The sequence below is a fragment of the Homo sapiens genome, chromosome X, assembly GCF_000001405.40.
Source record: "Homo sapiens chromosome X, GRCh38.p14 Primary Assembly".
Taxonomy (NCBI): domain Eukaryota; kingdom Metazoa; phylum Chordata; class Mammalia; order Primates; family Hominidae; genus Homo; species Homo sapiens.
Window position 1 is genome coordinate 115,119,636 of NC_000023.11, and position 17,956 is coordinate 115,137,591.

Consider the following 17,956-nt stretch of genomic DNA (forward strand, 5'->3'; position numbering starts at 1 on the left):
CAATGACTTTCTTCACAGAATTGGAAAAAACTACTTTAAAGTTCATATGGAACCAAAAAAGAGCCCGCATCGCCAAGTCAATCCTAAGCCAAAAGAACAAAGCTGGAGGCATCACACTACCTGACTTCAAACTATACTACAAGGCTACAGTAACCAAAACAGCATGGTACTGGTACCAAAACAGAGATATAGATCAATGGAACAGAACAGAGCCCTCAGAAATAACACCGCATACCTACAACTGTCTGATCTTTGACAGACCTGAGAAAAACAAGAAATGGGGAAAGGATTCCCTATTTAATAAATGGTGCTGGGAAAACTAGCTAGCCATATGTAGAAAGCTGAAACTGGATCCCTTCCTTACACCTTATAAAAAAATTAATTCAAGATGGATTAAAGATTTAAACGTTAGACCTAAAACCATAAAAACCCTAGAAGAAAACCTAGGCATTACCATTCAGGACATAGGCATGGGCAAGGACTTCATGTCCAAAACACCAAAAGCAATGGCAACAAAAGCCAAAATTGACAAATGGGATCTAATTCAACTAAAGAGCTTCTGCACAGCAAAAGAAACTACCATCAGAGTGAACAGGCAACCTACAAAATGGGAGAAAATTTTCACAACCTACTCATCTGACAAAGGGCTAATATCCAGAATCTACAATGAACTCAAACAAATTTACAAGAAAAAAACAAACAACCCCATCAAAAAGTGGGCGAAGGACATGAACAGACACTTCTCAAAAGAAGACATTTATGCAGCCAAAAAACACATGAAAAAATGTTCATCATCACTGGCCATCAGAGAAATGCAAATCAAAACCACTATGAGATACCATCTCACACCAGTTAGAATGGCAATCATTAAAAAGTCAGGAAACAACAGGTGCTGGAGAGGATGTGGAGAAATAGGAACACTTTTACACTGTTGGTGGGACTGTAAACTAGTTCAACCATTGTGGAAGTCAGTGTGGCGATTCCTCAGGGATCTAGAACTAGAAATACCATTTGACCCAGCCATCCCATTACTGGGTATATACCCAAAGGACTATAAATCATGCTGCTATAAAGACACATGCACACGTATGTTTATTGCGGCATTATTCACAATAGCAAAGACTTGGAACCAACCCAAATGTCCAACAATGATAGACTGGACTAAGAAAATGTGGCACATATACGCCATGGAATACTATGCAGCCATAAAAAATGATGAGTTCATGTCCTTTGTAGGGACATGGATGAAACTGGAAATCATCATTCTCAGTAAACTATCGCAAGAACAAAAAACCAAACACCGCATATTCTCACTCATAGGTGGGAATTGAACAATGAGAACACATGGACACAGGAAGGGGAACATCCCACTCTGGGGTCTGTTGTGGGGTGGGGGGAGGCGGGAGGGATAGCATTGGGAGATATACCTAATGCTAGATGACGAGTTAGTGGGTGCAGCGCACCAGCATGGCACATGTATACATATGTAACTAACCTGCACATTGTGCACATGTGCCCTAAAACTTAAAGTATAATAATAAATAAATAAATAAATAAATAAATAAAGGGGTTTTTTTAATTTTAAAAAAGAAAAAATGGCAAAACGGGAAAATCTGTATAATGTAATGGCTGCAGAAAACGTTGCTAAGTTTGCTATTTCCCCACTGAAAGATTGAGAGTAGAAAAAAGAAACAACAAACATTTTTAAGAATTAAAAATTTAAAACATCACATCAGCCAAGCACAGTGGCTTGTGCCTGTAATCCCAGCACTTTGGGAGGCTGAGGCGGGTGGATCACTTGAGGTCAGGAGTTCAAGACCAGCCTGGCCAACATGGTGAAACTCCGTCTCTATTAAAAATAAAAAATTATCTGGGTGTAGTGGCATGTGCCTGTAGTCCCAGCTACTTGGGAGGCTGAGGCAGGAAAATTGCTTGAACTGGGAGGCGGCGGTTGCAGTGAGACGAGATCGTGCCACTGCACTACTCCAGCCTGGGCGACAGCGTGAGACTCTGTCTCAAAAAAACAAAAGCAAAAACAAAAACAAAACCATCACATCAACTATATACAAGAGGTAATTAGAGAACATTATGTAATTTCCAAATTACCCAACAATTCAGATTCTCTACACATTAAATTATGTTTACTTACTTGAGGGAAGAGATTAAAGTGGGATCTGTAGACCAGATTATTAAGACACTGTTCAAAAGACAGCTTAACAAGCACAACTTAATTGTGCTCTGATAACAATGTCATTTCTCTCCATAGTCATTCATGTTGAGGTTAGGTTTATAACACTTTACAAAGAAGCAATATTGTGATTATATATCTTCCTTACATATTTACAATACTGCTTTAATGATTATTGTATAGTAGTGCAATTATTACATGAAACATAAGACAATTCCTAAAAATTTCAAAGTTTGTCCAATACAGGTATTATCATAATATGCTGGTATAATTTCCAATTTTGCATTTTAAATAAAGTTTAAAAAGCTATTCACACTGAATGCAAATCTTCCAATCAGAATCTATCCAGTGAATTACAATGGGGTCCAAATGTTCTCTAGCAAAAAAAAAAAAAAAAGAAGGAAAAAAAGATGGTAACAATGACATCACAACCAAGTTGTAAATATGGCCACCGAGTTATGTTTGGTCAGTGATGTGCATGATTTTCCATATTTGTAGCTATTTTATAAATTACTTTAAAGGTAGCTTAAAAACATTCATTAGATAACTGCTACAGTGAAAGCTGGAGCTTAGGAGAAGGTACCAAGAGAAGGCATTCATTTTCATGTTCAGAAAGCATTATTCATTGCTCTAAGAAGAACCCCAGTTTGCATGTAATAAATTCAAATTTAAGTGATCACGTTGTTAGATAAATAACAATTACCTGTGAGACACCCAACTTTTTACAAGCATCAAGAAAATTTTCTACATTTCTTCGACATTTTGCCATGCTCAGTTTGGGCTGTAAAGTAAGAGGGAAAAAATGTACTTTTAGGCATTTTTCTATGGAACTTAATCAAAACTGAAAACTAAGTTCACTGAGGTATATTATTTAAAGACAATTTTAAGAAGCTATATCTTCCTTTAGAGAACTAACAAATTGTAAACAAAACTTACCACTGCTGGTGATGGTACATGAATACTAGCAACAGAACGTGGCCTTATATGATTGGCTAAATGGCAAAGAACAACCCCATCCATCAGTGCAGCTCCAATGTCATCAGGCAAAATTACTTTTAACCTGGATTCAAGATTCTATAGAAAAACAGGTATAAATCAGATACTCTATCTAAACATACATGTTAAATGTTTATATTACTAATTGTTGTATATCCAAACATTTTAAGGAGCATTGAAAATGAAATCTGTACGCCTTATTAATTTTCCAAGTTAAACCCATTTCCACAAAGCAGATCTGAAAGAGCAATCTGACTTACGTTGCGAAGTTGTCGTATTTGCTCTCGCTCTTCCCGTAAATGTTCCATCTTTCTTCTCATTGTAAATCCTGGATCTGCTGCCCCATATTCTTGGCGAGATGAGCGGCTAAAAGCTATAAAAACAGAAATTTCCTAACTTGTTACAAAGTTAATGGGAAGGAGCAACTATTGATGGGGAAAGAGGCATGATGAATCAATACAAAATTACATAAAATATTATTACTCACTAATACATTCCAAATATTTTTAGAGAATATATTTGAACTCTATTTATGTGCATAATTGAAAGCAACAGGGAAGATAAGTGTAATGATTTCTACCACCTATACATGTTCTTATTCAAACATACGTTATTAGAAACTTATGGCCCAGGTTAAAAATGATTACTGAACATATGTCAGCCTTTTATCTTTTAAAAAAGGAAATTATTCTTGAAGGTCAATACAGTTATTCAGGAATAAAAACTATAGTTCAATACCTTGACAAGTAACATGGATCCATTTTCTTTTGGGCTTGCCAAATGCGAAAAGATCCCTTTATAAAACCACAATATAATGGAGTGCTATAATTTCAAACAGTGTTTGGTCTGCTGGCAGAGTGGTCATTCTAACAGCAGTCACAGTAGAGTAGAAATAAGACTGCAGTATATCTAAGGCAAAAAGCTGAGGTTTCAGGAGCTTGAAGGTAAAGAGGAAGAAAGAAATGGGAATGGGAATTGGAAAGACAAATATCGTTAAGAGAAAATTGCTTTTAGGAGAGGGGAAAGAATCTATGTGTACTTAAGACTATGGAATCAATCCCATTTAAGCTGGGAAACTAGTTTCATATATAACTAATAAATTTTATTTACAGAATATCTATTTACCTGATCTAGGCTTCAAGCCAAAGGGACTGTGTGAAAAACCATCAGTTCTGTCATATTCCTAAAAAAAAATTAAAAAGTTAAAAATAAATAAATAATAAAACTTCTTTTCTTTCAAAATAATCAAGGTGCTTATTCACATCCATTCCAATTTGGGGAAATACTTATTTTCCTATGATTAGTGAAGAGAAAAGTAACTTGCATTTCAATTCAAGTTGATACATGTCACTTTTAAGAGGTCAACTAATATTTGCTAGTTGAGCTAACCATATAGGCTTTAAATACTTTCATAGTAGAAAGAAAATGAAAATCATTAGTGAACTGTATAAAATAGATCATACTTTTTGAAAGAATCAGACTGAAGTTTCCGAAAAAAAGAAGTAAGCTTCAATGAAAAGGTAAGTGAATTTAGCATTTACTCAGCATCTACTATGGACTTAACACCTAACAGTAGATAATCTGAAGGCAAACATATTTGTATAGGGACTGCAGAATGATAGATGATAAATATCATCTCTTCTATTTGAATGAATATTTTTTCAAATCTTTCACACACAGTGGTTTGCTATGGAAAGATTTGTAGTACATTAAACAAATCTGAAGATGGAGTTAGAAAGCTTAGGCTATGTTTTGAGCACAACATATAATTTCTCTGTGATTGTTTCTTCATCTTTCAAATGAGGTTACTGTGAAGATTAAATGAGATAACTAAATGATGATAAAATAATGTAATCTTAGCAGCACCTTATTTAATCTGTGCAACAACTCTGTGAAGTGAGTAGGGCTCAGCTTCAGTCACTTCTCTGCCATTTATTAACTAAGATAGTTTGGAAAGTTACCCATCTCTTCAGCTGTAAAATGATGAGGATCATACCTATTTTATGGGGCTGCTTTTAGGTACAAATATACAGGCAAGCACTTTGTTAATACTAAAGCATTACACCAATTAGTTTTACTCTTTTCCATTCACACATGAAATTAATGTAATCAGAATTCTGTAGATTACCTAAATCTTCTGTTAACACGTGATATGCAGTTCAGGTTAAATGTCAGTTGAGTTACCAAAGCACATACATACTCACCACCCTATCCAAATCTACAAGCCTCCCAGTTTGTCTTCACTATTTTGGTTAAATTAATATGAATTCCTAGATGAAAATTTCACTGATCCAAATGAAATAAAAAATATATTACAAAACTCACACCTGTAATCTCAACATTTTGGGAGGCCAAGGCAGGTAGATCACTTGAGGCCAGGAGTTCAAGACCAGCCTGATCAACATGGTGAAACCCTGTCTCTACTAAAAATACAAAAATTAGCCAGGTGTGGTGGCATGTGCCTGTAGTCCTACCTACTCGGGAGGCTGAGGCACAAGAATCGCTTGAATGTGGGAGGTGGAGGTTGCAGTGACCTGAGATCGTGCCACTGCACTCCAGCCTAGGCAACAGAGTGAGATCATGTGTCATATATATATATATATATATATATATATATATATATATATATATATATATATATATATATATATATATATATATATATATATATATATATATATATATATATATATATATATATATATATATATATATATATATATATATATATATATATATATATATATATATATACACACACACATATATATATACACATATATATACGTATATATATATGTATATATATACATATATATACATATATATATACACGTATATATATACGTATATATATATCAATGTAAATTATTTGGGAAATTTGGTATGAATAGTCTTCCCTGTGAACACAGATCATAAAATCATATATCAAGCAGACAAATAAGTAGTAGTCACTTATATGCTTATACTTGTAACTTAAAGTAAAAGAATTACAAAAGCATATGACAAAGACTAATTTTAAGATATCCTAATTTAAATTGTTTTCTAAAAGTGTGTATACCATTTTACCTATCATATGAATAATTTAGAAACATGTTTATAAAATTAATGTCCAAATCCATTCAAAAGTTTTGTAATGCAGATCACCCACAACAACAAAGAATCCTAGCCTATTAAAAAAGCAACACCACCTACATATAATGAAATATTAGCAGCATCTATGTAACCAAAGTTACACAGTGAATTTGGGCCATCCAACACTTTGAGCAAAGTGTTGAATTCATCAAATGAATGTGTAATCATTTACTTACTAATGCCAATACACTTTAAGGTAATCTTAAGTAGAAGAGATAGAGTTTAGAATTTTTTAAATTTATCTCTTGTTGTAAAGCAATAGACTTGAATAAATAAATTAGAAGAATCAGTCATTCAAGCCACCAGAGTATTTGATCGAGATTTCACAAACTCTAACTTTCTGATACCCATTCTCCCAAAAACGTGTAACCTCCTGTCGATAGGAACAACCCACTGCAGGGATGTTTCTCGTGGAAAAAGGAAATTTCTTTTGCATTGGTTTCAGACCTAACTGGTTACAAGAAAAACCAAAGGCCATTGCACAATGCTGAAGTACTTTTTTCAAATTTAAAATTTGAAAGTTGTTCTTAAAATCTATCATTTATTTTAAAATACGGATGAATGAGAAAGCATAGATTTGATAAAGTGAATTCTTTTCTGCAATCTACAGACACTTCCAAAAATCACTACAGACACTACAGACACTACAGAAAATCATAAATAAACAAGTGCTAGTATCAATATTTTTACCAAAAAATGGCATTCTTAGAATTTTTTATAGGCTAGAAGGTTTGTACAAACTAATCTGCCACGGATTTTAAAATATGAGTGAATAAATTATATTGCAAAAAAAATCAGGTTACAGAGAACTGGCAAGGAAGACTCTTATGTAAAACACAGAAAACATACAAAACGTATTTTTAAGACAAATAAAAACAGAACTTGTACCTCAGATGATACTGGAGATTGTGTTGACATATTAGCATTATCACTGTCTTGCTAAAACATAAAAATAAAAAGATGGAAGATGAAATTACAATACAAATGATGATTTAAACATATAAAAGGAAAATAAAAATTGTTCTGACCAACTACTAAAGGAAGACCTACTAAAGATATGCCATCCAGCACATTGCCACTCTACATGTGGTCTGTAAACCAGCAGCATAGGGATCCTCTGGGAGTTTAGAAATGCAGAATCTCAGGCCTCACCCGAGACCTAACTAATCAGAATCTACATTTCAGTAAGACCCTCAAGTGGTTCGAAATATAGTAAAGTTTGAAAAATACTATCTACATATAATAGCAGGGACGTGTTACCAATCTGAGACATGTAAATGAAGGCATGCAAAATCTCCATCACCCCAAATAACTTTCATCTGAAAATTTACATGTATCTAATATAGGCTTATTGATAATTACAAAGAATTTAATTTAATAAAACATTAAATGGTCCATGATTTTTAAATGACTATTCTACTGCCAACCAAATATGAAAATTTTGACATTTAACTTTGAATATGCACACTACATAGAAAATGTATTCATTCAACAAATGATTATTGGCTACCTACTATATGTCAGACACTATGCTAGACAGTGAGAGTACTGAAATTTAGTAAAATATCACCCATTCAAGGACCTTTCAGTCGAGGACAGAAATAGATTAATGTATACAGGTAATACAACATTCTCAGTATAATACAGAACAATGCATGGCATATTATGAGGCACAGATAAGGGGCACTTGGGGGGGATGATGAAGATGGTAGAGAAAGGCAAGTTTCCTGAGAAAGTATAAATTCAGTAAAAAACTGAGTGTCTACCAGAAAAAGAAAGAAGGGAACAACATGCTAAGATGAGAGGAGAAGAACCAAAGCATGGAAGCAACAAATGTAAAGATGAGTGCAGAAAACCTCTGAGCAGTTTTGTCTTGTTGGAGGGTAAGGTGAATGGAGGGTAAGGTGAAAGAAGAGCAAGTTGTGAATTAAGGCTGATGTGGCAAGCAAGGGCTTGATAAAGGAGGATCTAGAATTTATCTTCTAAGTTATGGGGGGAAACTGAAGGTTTCCAAGCAAGGGAATGGCCTGATTGCATCTGTGTTCTTTGAAACGACCACTCTGGCTGCAGTGAGAATGGACTAGAGAAAGGGAGAAGTGCAAGGAAGTTATTGCAGTAGAACAGGCAAGAAATGGACGAGGGCCTCTGCCGGAGCAGAAACAGTAGAAATAAAAGGGGAATGTATGCAAAATATTTTAGTGCAAATAAACAAACAGTAAGTCTTGGCTGCTGATTAGATATTGAGGCAGGCAAGAGAAAAGAGGGTATGAGGAGGCAGGGATAAGAAAATGTTTTCTGTCAAAGGCAGATGACAAATATTTTAGGCTTTGTGACAACTAACTGTCCCCCAATTCATGAGGAATATGTTCCAAGAACCCCAGTGAATGCCTGAAACCACAGATAGTACCAGACCCTTTATAATATATGTGCTATGTTTTTTCCTATACATACATACCTATGATAAAGTTTAATTTATAAATCAGGTATGAGATTAACATCAATAACTAATAATAAAATAGAACAATTATAACAATGTATTGTAATAAAAGTTATGTAAATGTGGTCTCTCTCTAAGTGTCTTATTGTACTGTACTCACCTATTTTTAGACTGTGGTTGACCACAGGTAACTGAAACCTTGGAAAGTGAAATGGAGAAAAAAGGAGAGCTACTATACTCAAACACTGCCACAGTAATGAAAAAGTAGCCATAGGCAAATGAGTATGGCTGTTTTCTGATACAGCTTTACTTACAATCCCATACAGCATGTCAAATTTGGCCCCTGGATCATAATTTGCCAGCCCCTGCTCCAGCTAGATGATGGAAGGTGATTCCATTAACTCAGTAGTTCTCAACCTTGGCTGGACATTAAACTCACATGGGAAACGTTAAAAACTTCATTGCTCAGTCCATACCACAACATACCACATGTCAATTAAATTATAATATCTAGGGGGTGTGACCCAGGCGACAGTATTGTCTAAAGCTCACCTGGTAATTTTAGTGTACAGCCAAAGTTGAGAGCCACTACACAAACTGTCGGATATTAGCGAAAAAGTGGGTTTAGAAGCAAAAACTTTTTAAAAACTCAGTTTTGAACATATTTAGTCCTATTGGGTTTATGAGATATATCCAGCAGAAATTCTAAGCAGGTAGGAAGATGGATAAAATATTGCAAGGGCTTGAACCTCAGGGGAGAGGTCTGGACTACAGACAAATCTGAGAGGCTTCAGCAGGTACACAGGTGTTATTCACTGAAGGCTTGACAGCTGGTGAAGACATGCTAGAGACCACACAGTAGGCCATTCCCTGGGAATAATATTTAAAGGGTAGGCTGGGATCTTGTGGAGTTGGTGCAATGGAAAGCTTGGGCAGGTGTACAGGAACTGATTGTGCTGATGCATGGGTAAATATTGCCAAGCATACCCATACAAAACATGTAATTTAGGCTTAAATATAAATACTAACAGTGAAAATATGACCAGCTATAGCCATAACTGACTTTTATTCATCCCAGTAAATACTACTGGAGAGGCCAATGGAGAGAAATCGGCATCTGAGCTGGCAGACGACCAATCATCTGGCTCTATTCATTATTTTTCCCTGTGTGATTCTATTTCCTAAAACTGAAGACATTTTCAGAAGCCCTGCCAAGTACCCAACATCAAATTAAATACCAATCTCTCCAACAAAAATACACAAAACTTAAGTATTTATGGTAATGAGAATATATCTTTTCAACAATGATAGGCTGCTGCATAGTTTACACTGTGCAGTAGAAAGGTTTATGGTAATGCACAAACTGTAGAAGTCGAATTTTAAATTTTAAAATAGCATGCAGAATTTGTGGAAGGAGTTCCTAAACAAAGTTCCTAAAAAAAATCTCAATTGACGACCAGGCTGATTTAGAAAGATAAAAGATGTGAAAGACAACACACACTCACATATGACAGGTCTAAGACGAATGATGATAAAATTCTAAAACTGAATTATTAGTAATTCCATTCTAAAGGACATATGGAAATTAAATGATTAAATTAATAATTGTATGATGATGCTCATATGTTTTTATTGTTGAAAAAAAACCATGCATTAAATCAATAACAAAGAAACTGAAAAATGGATTACATTTTACTCTCACTGAGCCAACTTCATATGATAAGTAAACATTTCAAATAATTATTAATATTATCTTTTCTCACCTCATCATTTTCATTGCCACTTGAACTCTTCCTCATTGATTTATACTGAAAAATATTTAAAACACATAATTTATTTTCCCTTGAACATATAAATTCTCTACTAGTAAATTATGTACAAGGTTCTTTCATATTTTGGTAGCTTTATTACATTACCTGATAACAAATTTAAGTATATAACAGGTGTAAATAGTCCTACTACTAATAACTAACAAAAATAATGCTTTCCATGTGCAAGGCATTGTTATAAGTACTTTATACAGATCAAGTAACATTTCTTTCTTAAGCCAAGCTATTTCCCATTCATTCAGGTGTGCAATCTGAGGGTTGTCTTAGAATTTTCCTTTTTCTTAATTCACTATATCCAATATGTCATCAAGTCGATTCTTTTTTTAATCTCTCTCAGACTTACTTCTTTGGAATTCTCACAACTACCACCCTTTTCCAGGCCCTCATTATCTTACACCTGGTCTATAATCTCACCATTCTAAGATGTCATTCATTATTAAGAAACCTACTGCTTTCATGTTAAAAAACACTACATTAAATGTATATATTGATTGTTCAATAACTGTAATAATGATGACAGCTAACACTTGTACTAGTGCTTGCTATATGCCAGGCACTGATTTAAATGTCTTACATGTATTAACCCATTTAATCTTCTTAACAACCCTACTACATAAGAACCATGCTTATATGTGAAAAAATGCTTCTTAGAGTCAAGAAAATACAGTATGACAACCACTGGAATTCTTACTTCTGACTCCTCTTCACTGCAAATGATCCTGCAAATCAGTGGCAGATTAACCTTCCGTTTACAACTCATGACTGCCCTGTTGTAACACCTACTAACTTTCAGATTATGTCCAAATTTCTATGCCTGGCATTCAAGGTTCTTTTTTGTAAATTTTTTTAAATTATTATTATTTTTACATTTGTATATAGTTATATTTGTGGTCAATTTTTTTTATTATATTTTAAGTTCTAGGGTACTTGTGTACAACGTGCAGGTTACATATGTATACATGTGCCATGTTGGTGTGCTGCACCCATTAACTCGTCATTTACATTAGGTATATCTCCTAATGCAATCCCTCCCCCCCCCTCCACACCATGACAGGCCCTAGTGTGTGATGTTCCCCACCCTGTGTCCAAGTGTTCTCATTGTTCAATTCCCACCTACGACTGAGAACATGCGGTGTTTGGTTTTCTGTCCTTGCGACAGTTTGCTCAGAATGATGGTTTCCAGCTTCATCCATGTCCCTACAAAGGACATGAACTCATCCTTTTTTATGGCTGCAGAGTATTCCATGGAATATATGTGCCACATTTTCTTAATCCAGTCTATCATTGTTGGGCATTTGGGTTGGTTCCAAGTCTTTGCTATTGTGAATAGTGCTGCAATAAACATATGTGTACATGTGTCTTTATAGCAGCATGATTTATAATCCTTTGGGTATATACCCAGTAATGGGATGGCTGGGTCAAATGGTATTTCTAGTTCTAGAACCTCGAGGAATCGCCACACTGTCTTCCACAACGGTTGAACTAGTTTACAGTCCCACCAACAGTGTAAAAGTGTTCCTATTTCTCCACATCCTCTCCAGCACCTGTTGTTTCCTGACTTTTTAATGATCGCCATTCTAACTGGTGTGAGATGGTATCTCATTGTGGCTTTGATTTGCATTTCTCTGATGGCTAGTGATGATGAGCATTTTTTCATGTGTCTGTTTTGAGAAGTGTCTGTTCATCTGCTTTGCCCACTATTTGATGGGGTTGTTTGATTTTTGCTTGTAAATTTGTCTGAGTTCTTTGTAGATTCTGGATATTAGCCCTCTGTCAGGTGGGTAGATTGTAAAAATTTTCTCCCATTCTGTAGGTAGCCTGTTCACTCTGACGGTAGTTTTTTTGGCTGTGCAGAAGCTCTTTAATTAGATCCCATTTGTCAATTTTGGCTTTCGTTGCCATTGCTTTTGGTGTTTTAGTCATGAAGTCCTTGCCCATGCCTATGTCCTGAAAGGTACTGCCTAGGTTTTCTTCTAGGGTTTTTACAGTTTTAGGTCTAACATTTAAGTCTTTAGTCCATCTTGAATTAATTTTTGTATAAGGTGTAAGGAAGAGATCCAGTTTCAGCTTTCTACATATGGCTAGCTAGTTTTCCCAGCACCATTTATTAAATAGGGAATCCTTTCCCCATTTCTTGTTTTTGTCAGGTTTGTCAAAGATCAGATGGTTGTCGATGTGTGGTATTATTTCTGAGGGCTCTGTTCTGTTCCATTGGTCTATTTAATGGTCCCCTTTACATACGCAGCATTATCTTCCATAACCCTTGGAAAAATAGATAACCAACCTGATATCTCAACCACAACCCTTGGAAAAATAGATAACCAACCTGATATCTCAGCCAAAAACTGGGAAGTGAGCTATATTAGGGATAATAAATACAAAACGTATTCTTCCTCCACTGTCTCTCCTATGGCAACTATCACTAATCTAGCAGCATGTTCTTTCCAGGTGATCTCACACAGAATCTCAATATGCCTTCAACCCAGTGTGCCAGAGAGCCACTGAATGAAATTGGCACGTGTGAAAAAATCCTATTTATCAGGCAAGACAATCACTGAAGTCACTTATTTTTGGTTTTAATCTATGTCAATGAAACAGTGATACTTGAGTGAATATGCTAATATTTACTAAGTGGTTACTCTGTGGCAAGTGTAATTCTAAGTACTTTTATTATTAAATAATTTAATAGTTATGAGCAGACCAGATTCTGCTTGCTCAAACGCCTTACTCCACTTCCTTGGCAACCACATCCAACAAACCCGATATGGCTGGGATTGAGAAATTTGGTAAGTCAAAATTGAAGAAGACAAAAAACACAAGAAAAAAATCCACTGCCTTCCAAAGAAATGACCAAACAGGAGAAGCAAGCAGACAAATCATAATGAGGTATACATCATGAAAACGAACTGTACATTGCACAAGCATTGCCTTCATATTTTACTTCTTTTGGCTGATTGACTTTGCAAGATGCAAAGAGGTTGGATCAAGTTTAAACGACTGTGCTGCTCCTCTCACATCAAAGAATCAAGAGCTACTGAAAATGAAGACCGCTCTTGCCTCTCCGATCTGCCTGGCTGGCAGATAAGGAAAAGAATTTGAATGTTGGTGAAGGAAGAAGCAGGGTGGAATGACAGTGAAAGCTAGAGTAAAACCAAGCTGGCCCAAGGTGTCCTGCAAGCTATAAAATTCAGTTTAATCAGAGTATCAGTTTTTTTGTTCCAGTGATTTTATTTATCGGGATACACAATTTTTTAAATGTGCAAATACAAAGTTTCAAAATGTGCAGAAAAAGTTTGTGGCAACCCTGTATCAAGCAAGTCTATTGGTGTCATTTTTCCAATAGCACGTACTCACTTCATGTCCGTCAAATTTTGAGAATTCTCACAATATTTCAAACTTTTTCATTATTATCATGTCTGTTATGGTGATCTGTGATATTGATCTTTGATGTTACTATTGTAATTTTTGAGGGGTGACTCAAACGACGCCCATATAAGAAAGCGAACTTAATCGATCAATGTTGCATGTGTTCTGACTGCTCCACTAACCAGTTGTTCCCTATCTCCTATTCCCTGACACACAATAATATTGTAATTAGGCCAACTAATAATCCCACAATGGCCTCTTTAAGTGTTCAAGTGAAAAGAAATAGTATGTCTTTCCCTTTAAATAAAAAGCTTGAAATGATTAAGCTTAGTGAGGAAGACATGTAGAAAGCAGAGATAGGGTGAAGCTAGGCCTCTTGCTCCAATTAACCAAGCTGTGAATGCAAAATAAGTGTTGAAGAAAAGTAAAAGTGCTACTCATTCCAGTGAACACACCAAAAATAAGAAAGTGAAACAGCCTTATTGCTGATATGGACAAAGTTTGAGTGGTCTGGATAGAATAGCAAACCAACCACAACATTCCCTTAAGACAAAGCCTAGTCCAGAGCAAGGCCCTCTCTTCAATCCTATGAAGTCAAGGTGAGGAAGCTGCAGAAGAAAAGCTGGAAGCTGTAGAGGTTGGTTGGTTCATAAGATTGAAGGAAAGAAGCTGACTGCGTAACAAAAGTGCAAGGCGAAGTAGCAAGTGCTGATGTAGAAGCTGAAGCAAGTTATAGAGAAGATCTAGCTAGCTAAGACAATTGATGAAGGTGACTACGCTAAACAACAAATTTTCTATGTAGACAAAATAGCCTTCTATTGGACTGCTGTAGATAGAGAGAAGTCAATGCCTGCTTCAAAGCTTCAAAGAACAGGCTGACTCTTGTTAGGGGCTAATGCAGCTGCTGACTCTAAATTGAAGCCAATGTTTATTTAACGATTCCAAAACTCCTAGGTCCCTTAAGAATTATGCTAAATCTATTCTGCCTGTGCTTTATAAATAGACCTGCAAAGCCTGGATGACAGCACATCTGTTTACAGCATGCTTTACTGAATATGTTAAGCCCACTATCGAGCTCAGAAAAAAAGATTCCTTTCATAATATTACTGCTCATTTACAATGAGTCTAGTCAACCAAGAGTTCTGATGAAGACGTTCAAAGACATCAATGTTTTCATGCACAACATCCATTCTGCAGTGCATGGATCAAGGAGTAATATCAACTTTCAAGTCTTACTAAGTAATAACATATCATAAAGCTATTGGGGCCATAGATAGTGATTCTTCTGATGGGCCTGGGCAAAGCAAATTGAAAACCTCTGCAAATGATTCATCATTCTAGATGCCATTAAGAACATTTATAATTCATGAGAGGAGGTCAAAATGTCAACATTAACGAGAGTTTGGAAGAAATTCATTCTGATCGTCATGGACGATTTTGAAGGGCTCAAGACATCAGTGGAGGAAATAACTGTAGATGTGGTGGAAACAGCAGGAGAACTAAAAGTAGAGTTTTTATTTCCTTTTCTTTTCTTTCTTTTTTTTTTTTTTTTTTGAGACAGGGTCTCACTTTGTCACCTGGCTGGAGTGCAGTGTCGTGATCTTGGCTCACTGCAGCCTTGACCTCCTGGGCTCTAAGAATCCTCTGGCCTCAGCCACCCCCGACCAAGTAGAGGGGACTACAGGCATGTGCCACCGTGACCAGCTAATTTTTTTGTATTTTTTGTAGAGACGGGGTTTTGCCATTGGCCCAAGCTGGTCTCAAACTCCTGAGCTCAAGGGATCCACCTACCTCAGCCTCCCAAAGTGCTAGGATTACAGGCATGAGCTGCCACGCCTGGCCTAGAAGTAGAGCTTAAAGTTGTGACTCAATTACTGTAATCTCATGATAAAACTTTAACAAATAAGGAGTTGCTTTTAATGGATGTGCAAAAAAGGTAGGGATTTTTAAGGTAGAATTTACTCCTGGTGAAGAAGCTGTGAACACTGTTGAAATGACAACAAATGATTTACAATGTGACATACCCTTATTTGATAAAGCAGTGGCAGGGTTTTAGAGGATTGACTCCAATTCTGAAAGAAGTTCTACCGTACGTAAAATGCTATCTAACAGCATCGCATGCTACAGAGAAATCTGTTGTGAAAGGAAAGTCCATTGATGTGGCAAACTAGAAATTGCCATATTCACCCAATTTTCAGCAACCACCATCAACATCTACACAAGACCCCCCACCAGTAAAAAGATTATGACTCACTGAAGGCTCAGATAATTGTGAGTAATTTTTAGCAATAAAGTATTTTTAATTAAGGTATATCATTTTTTCATACATAATACTATTACACACTTAGATTATAGAACAATGTAAACATAACTTTTATGCACTGGGAAACCAAAAAATATTCATGTGACTTGCTTTATTGATATATATTCATGTGACTTGCTTTATTGAATAGATATTTGCTTTAATGGCATTGTCTGGAATCAAACCCACAATATCTCTTAAGTATGCCTGTACTGTTACACTCATTTATAAAGTTTTAAAAAACAAACTTAATTAAGGTTACATGACTTGACAAAGTCACATAGTTAATAGGTATCCAAGTAAGGACTGGAACACAAGTGGTTTGATTCTATAAGCCCAGGCACTGTGCCATAAAATCATCTCTTGATATCTGCAAGGGATTGGTTCCAAGACCCCTACCCCCGCCTCACCCATGCCAAAATTCACAGATATTCAAGTCCCTTCCCTTACATAAAATGGCACAGTATTTGCATATAAGCTACTCACATCTTCCTGTATAGTTTAAATCATCTCCAGATTACTTATAATACTGAATACAATGTAAATGATATCTAAACAGTTGTTACACTATATTTTTTATTTGTATTATTTTTACCTTTTTTTTTTGCCTTTTTTCCCCACATATTTTCAATCAAGGTTGGCTGAATGCATGTGGAACCTGCAGATACAGAGGGACAACTATACTCCCATTTCTAAACACTAATTAATAGGAATTTGCCAGAGATAAAAGGGCTAATGGGCATTCTCAGAAGAAGAAAAGCAAAAAGAACTAAGAAAGCACAGCCTGTGTAGAAAACAAAGAGCAGTTTAATGAGGCTAGTGAGGAAAGTGAATTTTGGCAGGTAATGAAATATAGAAAAGGAAAGAAGGAATGGTCCACGAAGATTTTAACAAATCCAAACTTTATCTTATTGGTAATGGGAAGCCAGTAAGAAGTTTTTTGGATGATTTACAGTTTTACAGATTTAAGAGAAAATTTACAGATTTACAGTTTTATTTAAGGGCATTTTCTCACATTGTCTGATAATTATTTTTTATTGATACATAATTGTACATATTTATCAGGTACTTGTGATATTGTGATACATGCATACAATGTGTAATCATCAAATCAGGGTAATCACCTCAAAGACATTTATCATTTCTTTGTGCTGGGAACATTATCAATCTTTTCTTCTAGCTATTTTAAAATATATAATAAATTATTATTAACTATAGTCAACCTATGGTGCTACTGAACACTAGAATAAAGAAATTTAAAGCCAGAGAATTATCCAACGGCTGAGAAAGGAGGACCATTAATCAGTTATCACAATTGCCTGGGCAAGAAAGTATGAGGGTTCCAAAAAGGGCAAGGGCAATAGAGATAGACATGAATTGCAGAAACGATGCATATATTAGGGCTGATAACCAATTAGGTGATGGGAATGAGGGCATCCAAACAATTAGAAACACAGATTTAGGGAACAGAAAAAAAGTTATAGGATGTAAATTTAGACACAGCAGAATATAAGAAACATCTAGAGTCATTAACACTCCAGAGAGAGCTTTTTAGAGTAATAAAATGAGGATCAGACCCTAAGAGCAAGCAGAAGAAAAGTTAGAGAAGGACATCAAAATGATAACAGGGAAGAAAAATGAGATAGAAACCAAGACAGGAGTATCAAGAAGGAAGATGTGGTCATCATTGTCAAATGCTACAC

The 17,956-nt window shown here is 35.5% G+C and overlaps 1 protein-coding gene, 1 non-coding gene and 1 pseudogene across 5 annotated transcripts in view; 1 reads left to right on the forward strand and 2 right to left on the reverse strand.

Moving 5' to 3' along the window:
- LRCH2 (leucine rich repeats and calponin homology domain containing 2) overlaps positions 1 to 17,956 on the reverse strand; it is a 123,481-nt gene that overhangs the window by 9,020 nt on the left and 96,505 nt on the right. For 2 of the 4 annotated variants that reach the window (XM_006724724.4, NM_020871.4), the window contains exons 15-20: positions 10,520 to 10,564; positions 7,208 to 7,258; positions 4,310 to 4,367; positions 3,445 to 3,557; positions 3,125 to 3,262; positions 2,892 to 2,969 (exon numbers count right to left, since the gene is read on the reverse strand). In XM_006724724.4, coding sequence (XP_006724787.2) covers positions 2,892 to 2,969; positions 3,125 to 3,262; positions 3,445 to 3,557; positions 4,310 to 4,367; positions 7,208 to 7,258; positions 10,520 to 10,564 — 483 coding nt within the window. Of the gene's footprint in view, positions 1 to 2,891; positions 2,970 to 3,124; positions 3,263 to 3,444; positions 3,558 to 4,309; positions 4,368 to 7,207; positions 7,259 to 10,519; positions 10,565 to 16,227; positions 16,912 to 17,956 lie in introns of those variants that run through there. The other 2 variants (NM_001243963.2, XM_017029696.3) reach the window with 2 other exon arrangements.
- On the reverse strand, positions 6,681 to 6,807 carry SNORA35B (small nucleolar RNA, H/ACA box 35B). The gene has a single exon (NR_145764.2). It is a non-coding gene; the product is annotated as a small nucleolar RNA, H/ACA box 35B (small nucleolar RNA).
- TMSB4XP7 (TMSB4X pseudogene 7) lies at positions 13,278 to 13,859 on the forward strand (annotated as a pseudogene).